Below are 16586 nucleotides of genomic sequence, written 5' to 3'. Positions count from 1 at the left end.
ATGAAGGGTTTTGTGGGAAGTTGAGGAGAGTGTTGCATTGTACCTATGGGACAAACTTTCCCCTAAGTTGCATTTAAGCATCTCTATATTTTCCAACTTTTCTCTCTCCTGGAGCTGCCACACATTAGCTCTTTCTCCCCAGCCTTCTCCCTCTCAACCCCGTGGGTTCCAGCCTTTACCTCACCATGTCCCTTCAGCAACACAAAAGCCTTGGCCTCTCGCAGTCTCTGGACGTAGGGACTGTGTCTCTCGTTGAGGACTTTTCACACACTACTTTTCTATACTGTTAGCAACTTTATCTACTGTGTCTCATCTTTTTAGACACAGCTCCTTATGGACAGAGACTGTGTCTTTTCTCTTTTTTGCATCCCCTGCTGCTGTGTTACTTTAGTGCCTAACACAGTAGGTTCTGAACAAGCGTTGATCATTGTTACATTCTTCTCTCCAGGCCTGGCTCTGGGTTATGGATGGAGGACTCCAGAGCCTCTCTCCTTTCCTAGTCCATAGATTTGGACATAAAAATGGGCAAGGATATGAGATGGTGGTCAGGGGAAAGGTGGTGCATTGTATTCCAAGGATCCTTCTGGACAAGAAAATCCTCTGTTGCTCCCAGGGAAAGACTGTGGATGGGAACAGCCTGAAATTCAGGCAGGATATGCCCCCTGCCTCACTTCAGTCCAGTGGTTGGTTACTCCTGGGCTTGCCTGAGGATTTATTGAATCCCATCCCTCCATGGGAAACAGATGGGAGGGGCTTTGCTTTGGACCTGGGTGCAGAGGCAGGAGGCTCTGGAGGGACTGGGCCTGGTCTGTGTCCTCCATGGGGGCCTCAGCCATGGGAGAGGCACATCTTAGCCTTCATGTCTATGTGGCCATCAAGGCTAGACTTGACCTTTGGGGTGGGCTACCTGTCACCATCCTGTTGAGCTCCGACAGCTACGGCCCTGTAGAGGTCTTTACCTTAGAAAGGTTTGCACTGGGCGCATTCTCTTAGTTGAGTGAATGGTACACACTAATATGCATCTTTTATTGGCATTAACATCCTCCCCTCTAGAAGGCATGCTCCTTGTGTAAGCTCCTTGGTCCCGTGAGCCAAAAGGAGCAAACTGTTACGACGGCAGACAGGCACAACCCTTCCCCACACCTCTCTTCATTAACACTTCCTCCCCAGGCGCAAGGGAAGCTGTCTGCTACGGATGCAGAGGCTTTGCTTATGGTGATGGGACTGCTGTAGACTCACTCCCTGCTGGGGAAGAGCTGGGGGAAGCTGAACACACAGCAGGGAGGTCCTGCCCCACATGCTAGGAGGCCAGCTGCCTCCTGAGGATGGTAGGCAGAGTAACTTGGTGAAGGGAGAGTGTGGATTTGGTTCTGATCTTGAGCTGCCTGGAGAGCCAGAGATGGAGGGGATGCTTTGATTGTGTGGCAGGACCTCAGAGAAGGCAGGGGAACCAACAGGAAATGCTGCAGGGCTTCATCTCTGACCCTGGGCTCATGGGGCCCGTAGAAGTGGGTCAGCAGATCAACTCTGGGCCCAACCACACACACCCCACCTCAGCTCTAGGGAGCAACTGCAGCCCCTTCCTAGGCTCCACAGGGACATTGCTGAAGTCTTTGCCCCCATCCTATGCTCTCCCCAGTCCACCCAGACACCCCTTCCAATTCACAAGTTCATCTCTGAAATCACACCTGGTACTGACAGCACTGGGAAAGGACTCTAGTCTCACCTCCCACCCCCACCTTACTATGGGTGGTCCTAAAGCACGATAAACCCTCACCTTTCCTAGCGCCCCGTGCTTTCCTGCACAATCACACAGCTTACCCAGTGGTCTTGCCTTACAAAACGGCAATATGTCAACCTAAACGGTAGAAGCAGAGACAAAATTAATATAAGTAGAGAGTTTATTTGAGTCAAGTTTGAGGATTGCAACCTGCGAGCATAGATTCAAGTTGCCCTAAATACACACTCTGATTAGCTGAAGTTACAAGTGGATTTTTAAAGGCAAAAGCAGAGGATGGGGTATGGGCTGATATAAAGTTGTTTGTCAGGAATTCTCATTGGTTTACATAAATAACATTGATTTGATTGGCTATACATTGTTAAGCTATAAAGCGTGGGTTACAGTGTCTGGTGAGGCACTATTAGGTTGATCTATAGCTACCTGTGGTGATAGCAAGCAGCTTCAAGAGACGAACACATTGCTCAAAGCAGGGGAGTAGGACATGATTGCTGTCTCGTTTTAGTGTCTCTCTGGGCCTGATAATTAAAAGGACTTGTATTCCTCAGATAAAGGTTCTTTTCTTAACTCCTTTCATTGGGAGGTGAGTTACTCTGCTTCCCATTGCTGATGCAGCAAAAGGGGATCAGTCCAGGCAGGCCCTGGGCCCGGCTCCCCACACCCTCCAGCACATCCTTGGAGTGGGGGCACCGAGCACATGCTTTCATCACTGGCAGATGAGCCTGTAGAGGGTGATGTTTGACTCACCCTAGCTCCTACCAAACCTGAGTGGATTGATGTCCTGGAGATTACAGAAGGTTTAGAGCATGAAGTGACCTTGAGAGCCAAATGTTTGTCCGAATCTGAAGCCCAGAGTAAGCCAGGAAGCAGTCCAGGGTCATCACCAGCTAAGAAGCCTCCTGCAACTGCAAACAGAAAGCCTGAAAAGACTAGGTTGTCATCGTTCATTTTATGAAAAACTTGCTGTACAGAAGCTTAAGAACTTTGGCTTCCAGCAGGACAGAGAGGACAGAAAGTGCGTGGCCACAGCTGGGTCCTTGGAAAATCCTTCATGTCTCCTTCCCAGGGTGTTGTGACCTCAGGGCTTGGTCAAAATGAAGGCCCACAGAGAAGGGGTGCCTGTGGGTGACTGTACAAGGGATGTGACTTGAGGGGCCCAGGGAAAGGCTGGAAGGAAGGAAGAAAGGAAAGGAGAGAGGGAAGGAGGGGGAGGGGAGGGAGTAGAAACAAAATGCGTTGGGGTTCAACCCGTAGAAGGAGAACGATAGGGAGTGTTTGAAGATTTTTGTCTTTGCTTGTTTGGAAATTGAACCTTGGGTTTTCATTCAGTTAAATTCAGTTCAGTAGACCTCTTATTCATTCATTCATTTGACAAATATTTATTGAGTAGTTACCAAGTGTCAGACACTCTGCCAGGCACTGCATCCCTTGCAATGAACAAGACAGTTAAGGCCCAGCCTTCACAAAGGAACATTCTAATGTGGATAAAGCAGGGAGGGGTGGGCACAGTGGGAGGGGTCAGGTTTGTGAAGGAACCCTAAACAAGTGGGCAGGTGATGACTTGGGATTGGTTAAAGTGTTAAGGAGAAGTAAAGGGTTATGGGCAGCATGGCCTTCCATGACCCCAGCTCAAGGAAGGCCTCTTCCTAAATCTCCCTTGCACCTAAAGGAAGGGAAGGAGCCAGACACAAAAACAGAAGAAGGGGAGGAGGGAACTGGGGAAACAGGAAGGGCATTCATTCTAAGCAGAGGGAACGGCAAGCGTGTCACATCTGTCTTGGATTGTTTGGGCTGCTATAAGAAAATACCTTAGGCTGGGCAATTTATAAACAAGAGAAATTCATTGCTCACAGTCTGGAGGCTGGGAAGTCCAAGATCAAGGCACCTAATCTCATTCATGAGGAGCAGAGCCCTCCCAATCTAATCACCTCCCAGAGGCCCCACTTCTTAACACTATCACCTTGGGGATTAAGTGTCAACACATGAATTTTAGGGGGACACTGACATGCAGACCGCAGCAACACTTGAACCATGGGGGCATCAAGGCAAAAACAGCTCTGTTGGTTTAAGGAGCAAGAAGGAGACCAATGGGGCTTTGCTAAGTGTGTGGAGGAGAAAGAGAAAGGATAAGGCTTTTGTGGGTCTTGTGGGCGGCATTTAAGGAATTTGGATTTATCCTAACTAGAGTGGGAAGCCACTGGGAGCTCCAAAGTATGTAAGGGACACGGCCTCATTTTACTGTGTGCCAGTTCTTGCACTTGCCTCTCCCCTTCCTTGCTCAAAATAACTCTCAGCAACTCCGCAGAAGTAGGAAAGCCAATGCCCCATCATCAGCCAGCTCCAACCAATGCACACTTAAAACATTTTTTTTGGAAAGCCCCCTGTAAATAGTTTCTGGGGACAATGATATTCCTTTTCCTTGCAAAGAATACCATTAGCTTCACCTATGTCTTTAGTAGCAGAAGTGGCTAACATGATGACAATCCCACCCCAAGGCAGGAACAAACACATGCACTGTTTACAGAAATCCTTCAGGCCAGCAGAGGAAGCATCACCTTATCCACGCACTCTCACCTCCCTTTCTCCTTACTGGGGACCCTCACCTGCCAGCAGGACTGCTAAACCTAGGCTTAGCTCCCCCTTTTAAATTTTTGTGCCATTACCACACCTCCATACCTTTCAGTTTTCTCTTAGTTCTTTAAAGCATGCTTAAATTTCTTGACTACTTGAGTTGAGAGGCACCTCTTCCTGCCTCCTTCTACCTTCCAGAAACTTTCCCCACTGTGCTGTGGAATCCTCAGACTCGGACATCTCCTGGACTCTCAGCCCATTGGTTTGTTTCATGTGCTTTGGAGTTTCAGTTTGTTGCCCTGGAGAGATGACCACCCCTTTACCTGTGACTTCCCAGATTTTTCCCACTTTGAGCCATGAGGTTCATCAGCCCCACCAAGGGACTAGGGAGTGGGGTGAGGGCTAGGGTATTGGCTCTGGCCCCATAAAAATCAGAAAGATATGGTTAGCAAGAAGGGTGCTGGGTATATCTTGAATGAATGAATAGAGCCTGGCTTTGTGGAATTGTGGCCCTGTCTTTGATGGATTCCTTTGGGCTTTAGATTGGGCTCACTCCCCGTTCTCTCCAGCTGCTGTGTGACCCTGGCAAGTCACATATCTATTAAGTGAGGGACCAGGGGCCCATGACCAACTTTTCTGGGGCTCTCCAGGCCCCCAATCCCCACCCCAGTGCTGGCTTCACCAGCTGTCGCTGACCCTTGACCTCTTCTCATCTCTCTTTCCAGGCTTATTTCACTGATACCGGCCTGGTTTGCAACTGGACTTTGGCACATTCTGGCCTCGGGGATCCTTGCTTCTCTTACTGGGGTTGTGGGCAGGGTTGTACCTTAAACTGCAAGAAGAGGATAAACTACAAATCCACTGGCCTCTGTCTCCATCCAAGGGCAGAACACGTTACCAGGGAGACTGCTTTTGAGGACAAGGGTGGCTGTGTGTGTATGGTTGGGGGGAAGTGGGTGGGTGGATGAGTTTGGAGAGTGCAGGAGAATGCTTTAGGCCTTTGACTTCCCATTCTGAAGACCAAGAGCATTAACAGGCATGTTTCCTGCCTCCAGGCTTACCCACTAGAGAGAACCTACACTTGGATCTTGGGTTTGGGGTCTTAATAATAGCAGTTTGTATTCTCTAGGCAGGGCTTTGCAGCCCTCTATGTGAGAGAATCACTGTGCGTTTATAGGCCAGAGCCTTGAGGCGGGAGCTTGCAAGCCTAGGGTTCTAGTGCAGCGTTGCCATTCACCTGCTAGTTTACATCAAGCAACTTGCTCACTTTTTCTTGGCCATAACTGTCCTGTCATTAACGTGGGAGAGAAAATGCCTATTTGCATTGGGATGTTTGGGCCATAAAATGAGATGAAGCAGAAAGCATACTCTAAAAGGCAAAAGAGGCATCTAGGTGTTCCATGCTAATTTTGATACTAAACCTTAAATCAATGAAACTAGTTTTATTATTAAACAAGAAATAGAAAAATGTTATAGAAGTTCAAAAAATATTTTTAAATCAAATTTAATTTTACTATCCTGTTGCAGTTATCATTTCCTCTTTCCTTACAGATTTTACAATGATATCCTCAAATAATTATGCATAATATGCCTAGCATTTTTTATTTTTTCACATAATGGTTTCACTTGGTCTTTGTAATCTTCATTTTCAATGGCTGCAAACTATTGCAATAGATATATATTTTATAACTCACTTAACAAATCCAATAGTGACCCGAGTATCAACAGTAATTGATATGTGAGCTACTTTCAAGTTTTCATTATAATGAATACTGCTGTAATCAGCACCTGGCTTTTTAGTGAAATCGACCTGTACATAACATTTTATCTAATTGTTAAATTAATACACACACACACACATTATAGAAAATTTAAAAGAAAATCTAAATCACTGGTGATTGTACCACTGAGAGATACCATAGTGAAAATGTGGGAGTCTGTCTTCCCATCCTTTTCCTCTGCATACATTGTGTGTAGTGGCAAATGTATACACATATATACACATCACTGGCCTGATGGTGTATATGCAGTGTTGTATTCTTATTTCTTCCTAGTTACTATTGTGGCAGACAGTTCAGAGTGTGGAGGCTAAGAGGCTGGGCTCTAGACTCAAATTAACCTAAATCAGAGTTCATCCCTTTGGATAAACTGTAACCCTCAATTTTTCACACTTTATTAGCTATTCAACTTTAGGCAATTTTTTTTTGTCTAGGCCAGTTTTTAGAAGAAGAAGAATGCTGGGTGCAGTGGCTCACATCTGTAACCCCAACACTTTGGGGGGCTGAGGTGGGCAGATTGCTTGAATCTAGGAGTTAGAGACCAGTCCAGGCAACATAATGAGACCCTATCTCTACAAAAAATTTTAAAAATAGCAGGGCGTGTTGGCGAGTGCCTGTAGTCCCAGCTACTTGGGAAGCTGGGTTGGAGAATTGCTTGAGCCAGGGAAGTCGAGGCCGTATGAGCCATGATTGCGCCACTGTACTCTAGCCTGTGGGACAGAGTAAGACCCCGCCTCAAAAAAAAAAAAAAAAGAAAGAAAGAAAGAAAGAATTAGATGATCTGTCTCTTAAGGTTGTAAGAGTCAATCCACATAAAGCATTTAGCAGAACATTTGGCACATGACAAATACTTGCTATTGTCATTGGGTGGGTGCATGTTGCATGTCATGAAAAATTCTTAAAAATCAGCATTTTAAATGACTTTCATATTGTTCTTTTATACCTGATTTATTCATTCTCATCATATATAGTTAGTTTAATAATAAGAGAGTGAATTTTGTAAACCTTTGCTCTAGTTTGGACTATTTCCATATGCAAGCATCCTAGAACAGGAATTAATGAGTTAAAGAATATGACGATTTTTAAAAGGCTCTTAATACATATGCCAACTTGCTTTGGCAGAAAGGATTTTAAATAACGGGGCTTAGGCATAGTTTTCAAACGGCAGCAACGAGAAGTGTAGTCTTCGACTTTTTTCCTCCCTCTTTCTCCTCCTTTCTTACGTCGTAGCATTTGGAGCCTAGACTTTTGAGACGGTCCCTTGGTGTGAAAAGGGCCGGCGTACCGGAGAGGGAGGAGGAGGAGAGAGCAGGTTTGAATGTCCGGACAGTCTTAGTAATTGTATCACAGTTGACAGATGCGACAGCGGCCACGTGACCCGTGTATGACCTCATAGCTCCGAGGCTCGTGCGTTCAGAGCCCGACCCAGCGGCGGCGGGAGGAGGGGAGTGCGTTTTCATCACCCCAAGTTGGCAAGTTACTCAAAGGATACGTGAGGGTTTGGGAACTCTCCTTGGTTTCCTGGGCACTGGGAAGCCCAGGCTTCTCTAATCACTGGGAAGCGAGACGATTTAGCCTCACAATTAGCAAACATTTGCTAAATGCAACTAGGTGCCCTGTTCTGGCTGCAGGCCAAGCTCCGTGCCAGGTTTCATCTTACTTCATTCTGATTATCGACATCTCACTGCCGAGGAAACAGACTTGCAGACACCGATGAGAAAACTTAGGAGCCAGCTGGGGAGGGAGGACTGGCCCAAAGTCACAGTCAACAGGAGGAAGCGGCGCGCGCCTAGCTACGCAAAACCGTATTGGACTCGGGGAGCCAGGGGTCGGGGTGGGGTGGGGGCGCGGCCGGCTGGGAGGGCTTCCCTGAAGAAACGTACCGTTTAGGCAGGATGGAAAAACGCAGAGCAGAACGCACCCTGACCTGGCAGAGCATCTGTAGTGGAGAGAATGGGATTTTAGAGGAACGCTGAAAATAAAACAAGAAAACAAAAGACCAGAGGAAAGTATTGCTAGGGTGAAGAGGGAGCGCCTTGGCTCCTTTGCCACCAACCCAGCCCCAGTGAGAGTTTACCCCCTAACTTTGAGGGTGCCCTCCCATCCCCAGAGCCCTTGGTTTTACGTCTAAGTACACTCCCCTTGCAGGGAAGCGCCAGCTCCGTGACCCTGGTTCTCTAAACATTTTCCTTGCAGACTCCTAAAAGAATTTTGAAAATCTGTGTACCCCTTGCACATTTTTAGGTGCAAACATTTAAATTGTTTTCATAAGTTTAAATAGTTACATAGAGTCTACTTTCTGGTGTATTGCAAATATTTGACATTTTAAAATAAAACTGTCACAGTACTCTGAAAAATGTTTCTAAATGTAATGCTATTGTGATTGGATACAACCATCATCCCTTTTAAAACTACATGAACAATTTGAACAAATTTCATTTCTTTTTTTCTCCTTGAACTTATATTTCTCTTCTACTTCCCGTACAGAATTTTAGCAGAATATATTTTTACGGTTCAAAGTCTTTTATGTATCACCCTTCACTCTATCATACTTCTTCCCAACAAAACTATGTGTATAAGACGAATTTACTTTTAAATTTTTCTGTGACCATATACTCAGTGTTAAAGAACATTTTGTCTTCATTTGTACCAGGATGACTAGTACACAATCAAAACAAATGCTTTACAAATTGTAATAGGTAACAAGAAAGCATAAAGAATAATTAATTTGAAATGCATCTTTTAAGGAAATGACGCTTCCTTCTTCATCCCAGTTAGTTCCTATATTCATGGGTGAATAATCGTTATTGCTAGAAAGGGTCAGAGTTCAGCATTAATTCTATTCCTGTTTTTCTTTTTTAAAAATTGATGCTCAGCTCAGAAACCTTTTTCACATAAGGACAAAGGAATGCAAGGACTTTGGTGATAGCAGTGTCATTCAACTGTATAAATTCCTTTCGAGTTATATGCCAAAAATCATATGGGCCGATCATTAAAAATCTATCAGCTGACCGCTAGAATTGATTCTCCTTCACTTTGAGTAAAGGCAGGGAATTGAAAGCTAGTTGATTTGTTCGGTCATTAGAGTTGCTCCTGCTCATTTTCTCAGCATGGATACCAGGATTTAGATTCTCCCTTCACTGCACTGGACATTTTCCCTGGTCAATGCACCATGGTAAGATGTGGGATCGGTAAGAGGTATGCCCTTTTTGGGGGGAAATGGGAGAAAGGGGAGGCAGGAGGGAGAACCACAGCAGCAGCATCCACTGGCATGTACTCAGACAGGTCACCTGTATAAGACAGCCAAGCAGAAGTTGAGGATTTGGTCCCGTGAGTCTCTTCAAATGACCCACACCAAAATACGTATCCTTTGGAAAATCTTCATATCCTTAAGAGTGCCTGCCTCTTAGTTTGTACTGGCCCATTCCTGGATTAGTGAGCAAAGGAAAGAAAGGCGATGGGGTGAGGGGTTCCTGCAAGTTCTGAAGGTTTATTTGCAGGAGGGAAGGTACTCTCCTGAGGGCTGACCTCCCTGAGGGGTGACCTTCTTTCTTCAGGGCCTTTCTTGGGAGGAGGCAAAAGTAAAACCGATCTGAACCCCACGCCCGCCAGCTGTCTCTCCAGACTGAAACTCTTCTCTCAGAGCCTTCCTTCTCTTTTTGGTTCAACTTGATTTGAGCTCTTGAAAGAACCTACTTCTCATTCCTCCATGGGGTGCCTCTCAAGGGCAGAGTGGTGTCTGCAACAGACCCATCAGAGTGGAGGGGAGCATTGTGGGGTCAGCCAAGGCCAGGGAGAGTGAGAGTCCTGTTGGACCCAGACACAGCACTGGCCTCCTTTGCTAGCTTCCCTCTCCTCACCAGCCAGGGCACGCTCATTCATGGTGCCTTTGTGTCCTTAGAAAAAGACCCTCTTTTGGGCAGATGCAGCACCATGAGCCCATGGGGTGGGGAGGACAGGACACCTTTGTACTAAGAAAAAAGCTCCCCTTCTTCTCAACTGATGCAGCCCAGTGCCAAGGGGCATAGCTTGGCCAGGGGAGGGTGGGCTGGATTTCAGCTCCCACATGTCCCCGCAGCTGGACACCTTTTGGCATTGCACAGCTGCCTAACCAGGGGGGTTTGGGGACACTCAGGATAGATGTAGAAGAAGGATGAACGGATACTCTGGCCTGCCCCCAGCCCTGCTCTGAGATGTTTCTCATACGCTTCTGCTGGAATTCCCTGCCAAATGGACTCTATTACATTATACCTTAAAAAAATAAACTAAAGACAGCCAGACTGACATGGAATTCCCTAGCATGCATGGCTCATAGAACTACCCTAGTCTCCAGCCTCAGCACACGCCTCAATCCTTGGGCTCAGCTGAGAAGATGTCATTGAAAGAAATCATTAAACTTCAAGGTTGCAGGCAGCCATGTGTTAGCTATTTTTTTTTTTAAGCCTGGAGCAAGGAGTCTATGAATTACGTTTCCCAAATCCGTAAATGCAACCTGAGAAAACCCCACACCGCGATTTGCTATAAAGAAAAGCTCTGATAGATTTCTCTCTTAAATACAGCACCTCCCAGCAAGTCAGTGCCTAACATTTGTGGGGACCTAGGACAAGAGGACCAAAGGAGATCCACAAACATTGTGTTGACATATGTTTAACTATAATCCGTTAATAGCAAACTGTCAAATGCTGTAGCCCCCTATCTTGACAAATCTTCATAATGACCTGGAAGGTCAAGTTTGAATTAGAATCTCATTGTCCTGAGATAGCCATGCTGAAACATTGTGGTTGTGGGGAGATCTGGCTGCAGGCCTTCCCCATCGCTGACCCCGGAGCCTGCAGCTCATAGCCCATGGCCTGCCCTCCTCCTGTCACACTGAGCTCTGCCTTAATCTTTGGGGAGCCTGATACGGGCATTCCAGACTCCATATCCAAGTTCCAATCACACCTCTTATGGCCTACAGTTTTCTTTTTTTTTTTTTTTTTGGTGACAGAGTCTTGCTCTTGTCACCCAGGCTGGAGTGCAGTGGCACGATCTCGGCTCACTGCAACCTCCACCTCCCGGGTTCAAGCGATTATCTGGCCTCAGCCTCCCAAGTAGCTGGGACTACAGTCGCCCACCACCACTCCCGGAGGGGTTTCACCATGTTGGCCGGACTGGTCTCGAACTCCTGACCTCTGGTGATCTGCCCGCCTCGGTCTCCCAAAGTGGTGGGATTAAAGGTATGAGCCACTGTGCCTGGCCATGGCCTGCAGTTTCTAGAGACAGATCTGAGGCCTTTTGGGCAAGTAATTCCAGGGTCCTGTATACCCAGAGTATGGTCTAGGAAAGAGGAAGGAGGTGTGAGCATGGGTGGAGACAGCCACTGGGTCCTGGAGACTCCTTACCCCACAGAGAAGAGTCAGGCTGGAGGAGAGCCAGAGTAGAGGCCTCTTAAAGTGCATGCCCAGAGCAAGGTCCCTCTTGTCCAGGTCTGAGGGCAGTACTGCCTCCCAGAGTGACAGCAGCTATGTGATATGCCCTTGCCTTCTGGAGGCCAATCCCCGACCCTCACCCCCATCACACACAAACTGGGCAGGTATCTCAAGAACCTTGGTTTTTTTTGGTAACAATTTTATTGAGATAATTCACGTACCATGCAATTCACCCTCTAAAGTACTGATTCTTCAGTGGTTTTTACTGTGTTCATAGAGCTGAACAACCAACCACTAGCACAATCAATTTTGGAACATCTCTTTACCCCAAAAGAAACCCTGTACCTTTTAGTTGTCACTGCCAAATCCCTCTGTTCCTCGAGCCCTAGGCAACCATGAATCTACTTTCTGTCTACAGACTTGCCTATTCTGGACATTCCATGTAAATGAAATCATACATGTGGCTCTTTGTGACTAGCTTCTTAGCATAATATATTCAAGGCTCATCCATGTTATAGCAGGAATCAGTAATTCATCCCTTTTTATTGCCAAATATTGTATGGATATCCCACATTTTATTTACCTACCCACTGGTTGATTGACACCTGGGCTGCTTCCAGACCTTTCATGGACCATCCTGCGAGCGCAGTGCTCTGTATGTTGGCAGCGCACAGCATATGCTGTGTCTGTGGAGTTTCCCGCTGGGCATCCCCTCTCAGCCAGGCCCTGCTGCCACTTCCTTTGGCACCATCATCAAGCCCTTCGTGGTGCTAGAGGAGGGCTGTTTTCTCTCAAGAAGTGGGGAAATGGCTCCCTTCCCTGAAGACGGGCACACGTGCTTACATATGTTCCAATGGCTCTGCTTCTCTACATCTCCCTCAGACTCCCTTGGTTAGGTTCATGAATACATCTTTCTTTATAGAACAGGCTGGGCACAGATGCCATGGTATCTCCTATGTTAGCTGTTGCTGAGCTGAGGTGCCAAGTCATATAACGAGAAAGCCCTTGCAGGATTCAGAATTCTTGGTTGTGAGTGAGAGAAACCCAATTCAAATCAGTTAACAGCAAAAATGGAAGCTGAAAGGTCTAGGGATAGCTCTTATCTCAGGTGGATCCAGGGACCCAAATCATGTCATCAAGAAATCACTTTCTCTCTCCCTCCTTCTCCATCTGTCTTCCCATATCTTGGCTCTGCTTTTCTCCATATCGATTTTATTCTCAGGTAGGCTTTCCCCAAGTGGAACAAGATGACCAACAGCATCTCTGGACACATAGTCTACCAGCTTAGTAGCCAATGGAATAAGAGCTCATCTTTCCAAGAGTTTCGGCAAAACATCCAGGTTTGAAACTCATTGGTCAGGCTTGGGTCATGTGTCCACATATTAACCAGTCATTTTGGCCAGAAGATGGAATACCCTGGTTGGCCAGATCTGGGTCCTGGGCCTACCCCTTGACTAGACGTCAGTTAACCTGAACCTCATGGACTAAGATTGAGGAAGAGGGAGTGGCCCAAAAGAAAATCAAGGGGAAATAAATGCCGGACACACGCAGCAGATGTTACTGGAACCATCCTATGAACTGTCCTGTCTAGGGTCTGCCCCACCAGTTTATCATGCATATCTAGGTAGGCCTGAGCCCTAGTAGTGGACATTCTTAGGCTGAAGCCGGGATCCCGTTAAATACTTATCGTTACATACATGTCGTTACATATGATAAATCAATTCCTTATGAGACCCTAGAAATTGATAGCCCAGATATTCCCCCTCTTAATGAGGGTTTATCATTGAACACGAACAAAGCCTTAGTATAAGCAATGTTGCCCTAATGGTGGAATCATGGGCTTTACGGAAGCACGTTGGAGAAAATATTTTGAATCCAAGAGGCCTTTTGGAGACAGAGGCTCAGTAAGTAGGTACCCATTCATCCATCACATCCATGTTTAGGATCTAAATGTCCTTAATTTCATAGTAATTTATTCATGCCAGGAATGAGCAGAGAATCAGGATGGGGGAAGTATCAGAGGGGCCAAGAAATCATAGACAAGGGTGTCCGGGTAAAGAAGACTTTGTTATAGGCAGCAGCACAACATAGCTCTTCTCTGACATCCCCCTCACTCTTTCTTCCCATCCCTGTTCCTTTGTCACCATGGAAACCAATGATGCTCCCTCCTTCTCCTCCCCTCTCTGCTCACTCGGGTCCCCAGGCCCCACTGCTCTTTGTCTGACTGGCTTCACACCGCGGTTGCCAGCCTCTTTGCAAACACTGAGCCTGGGCATGCAGCTTCACCTTCTTTTCACCCTCCACCCCGCCACCCTCTCCCGCCTCATTTTCCTGCTCCCAGGCTTCTGTTTCATGCCTTCCTTAATCTTGATCCAGGCTTTAGTGAAATTGCCATCTTTCTTCAAGAAGTTGTATGAAAATTAGATTTTTGCCACTCTAACCTGATTTGAAATGCATTAAGAGATCTGTCTTTTGAAACACCTCAAGGTGAGGCAATTTGTGAAGGGAAGAAGCATCCCTTACTGCGGCTTCTGTGCTTAAACATTGTTAGAGAGTGAATCACATTCTATTTTTGTACTAGGAGTGTCTTCTGTTTAACGAAATCCCCCAGCGTGTCTCTGAGTGAAACAGAGACTTTATCATAAAGGAAATAACACTTCGAGTTCAGAGATTGTGAGCTGTTGGCCCCGTGGACTTTTGTTAGGTCTGTATAGTGGCTAAAGAAAATTGAACCAACATTTAAAAATCAGCAGGTATCACATAAAAGTCTGGATTTCTGGCTGCCCTTGAGTTGGACATGGGGCATGTATCTCCACATGGTGAAGATGGGAAGGAGGGAAAAAGGAGTAGAGGCTTCCTGCTTTACGGCTTCTTCCTTTCCAGTCAGCTATGCCTGGCCAGCTTCCCACTTTTATCTGGCCCACCTGGGCCCTCCTGGCATCTGAGCTTCTGACCCTGGCCCTAATTGATCTGTTTTTGTTTGTTTGTTTTTGTTTTTGAGATGGAGTCTTGCTCTGTCACCCAGGCTGGAGTGCAGTGGCACGATCTCGGCTCACTGCAACCTCCACCTACTGGGTTCAAACAATTCTCCTGCCTCAGCCTCCCGAGTAGCTGGGATTACAGGCGCATGCCACCATGCCAGGCCAATTTTTGTACTTTTAGTAGAGATGAGGTTTTGCCATGTTGGTCAGGCTGGTCTTGAACTCCTGATCTCAGGTGATCTGCCCGCCTTGGCCTCCCAAAGTACTGGGATTACAGGCATGAGCCACCATGCTCAGTTTCCTAACTGATCTGTTTTGAGAACAAGGATTCTCCCACAGTGCATAGAGTTTGCTTAAGGGCAGTCATCTGGAGTTCTTTTGAAGTTGGCCTGATACCTGAGAGCAGGTGAGCTTTCTACCAACTACTGTGCTTCCAGAGTCTTCCAATCATTGTTTTCTTGGAACCCACTCAGGCTAGCTCAAATATTATGGGCTTTATGTATGTGAGGCTATGGAGATTGCTCAGAAGTGAAAGTCAGCCTGAGTGAACTGTATAGGGTTTCTCTCTTACCCAACCACCTCCCTCTTCTTTCTTATACCTACTCCTGTCTCAGAGTGGACATACCAACCTGGTCTTCAGAAAAAGAGCCAGGCATAGCAGATTGAAGAGGGAAGACCCCAGGCTGCCAGTTACAGACTGACTCTCCCGTCTTAGGGGACCTAGGAGAGGACATGGGGTGGGATCCAGAGGGAGTTACCGAGGCCTTTGAGTATAGATCTGCTGCCACTCATGAAATGGCAGGTGTGTGGGTCAGGTGGGCCAGTGAGTGAGGCCTTACATCTGTCCCCTCTCAAAGACATTTTCCTCCTTAGCGCTTGGTGAGGGAAGTGTGGGAACACAGGAGGGCAAGGCTGCAGTGAGCCGAGATTGCGCCACTGCACTCCAGCACCGGTGACAGAGCGAGACCCTGTCTCAAAAAAACAGAACAAAACAAACAAAAAAGAAACACGGGAACAGTTAGAATAAAAGGGTAGATTCATAAGCAGAAAAACTCTGGAGCCACTACCCCAGCTACACATATCTAGAGAGATATACAGGGGGCCACACAATGCCATCTGAAATGGAGTAGCAGTTCTCTTCCCATGTTATCAAACCAGCTCGGAACCTTTGTTCACAAACCTAAATGAATGAGACGCAGCACGGTTCTTTGTTTTCTTCCAATCATCTTTCAGCTCCTTGCCACACTTGGTCTCTGGTACCTCCTGGCTGAGCAAGCTTGGGCAATTCCTGAACCTCTCGGAGTCTGATTTCTCATCAGCAAAGTGGGCGTCATGGGCTGAATTATCTCCCCTCAAAATTCAAGTGTTGAAGTCCTAACCCCCGAAACCTCAGAATGTGACCTCATCTGGAGATAGGGGCTTTAGACTACGTACTGGGTACAGTGTACACTGCTCGGGTGATGGGTGCACCAAAATCTCAGAGATCACCACTATAGAACTTATCCATGTAATCAAAAACCACCTGTACCCCAAAAACTATTGAAATCAAAAAAAGAAGTCATGGCGTTAAAATGAGGGCTTAATCCAATCTGACTGGTGTCCTTGGAAGAGGAAATTTGGACATTCAGAGAGACACCAGGGATGCACACAGAGAGGAAGACCACGTGGGGATGCAGTGAGAAGGCAGCAGCCATCTGCAAGCCGAGAGAGGCCTCAGAGGAAACCAAACCTGCCAACACCTTGATCTTGGACTTTCAACTTCCAGAACTGTGGACAAATGAGCATCTGTTGCTGAAGCCACCCAGTTTGTGGTATTTTGTTAGAGCAGCCTGGGCAGATTAATCTAGTGCGTACCAGTGCTCCTTCATGGAGGGCTATGGGATAAAATAGATGACATGAGAGTGTTGGACAGGGTACAATACATCCTAGGTATTCGGCAAGGGTGAGCTTCCTTTTCAAGAAGCCGTCACAGAATGCTTTAGCTCACAGAGCCTTTCTCAGATCGTCTCTTACACTCCTTCTGTTTATTTGATTGATCAATCATTGCTCCTTAATCACTGATTGAGCTCTGTGGTCTGGTTGTTGAACCCTGGCAATGGGTGGTCTGTGC

General features: G+C 46.7%; 1 long non-coding RNA gene across 1 annotated transcript; it reads right to left on the bottom strand.

The window, feature by feature from the left end:
* Positions 1-5797: 5797 nt before the first annotated feature.
* LOC124906002 (uncharacterized) lies at positions 5798-8024 on the bottom strand. Its single transcript, XR_007086308.1, has 2 exons — positions 7971-8024; positions 5798-6821 (listed from the first exon to the last, which is right to left on the bottom strand). It is a non-coding gene; the product is annotated as an uncharacterized LOC124906002 (long non-coding RNA).

The sequence above is a fragment of the Homo sapiens genome, chromosome 2, assembly GCF_000001405.40.
Source record: "Homo sapiens chromosome 2, GRCh38.p14 Primary Assembly".
NCBI classification, from domain to species: domain Eukaryota; kingdom Metazoa; phylum Chordata; class Mammalia; order Primates; family Hominidae; genus Homo; species Homo sapiens.
The sequence above is the reverse complement of the archived record's forward strand: the minus strand, read 5'-3'. Positions and strand labels throughout refer to the sequence as shown.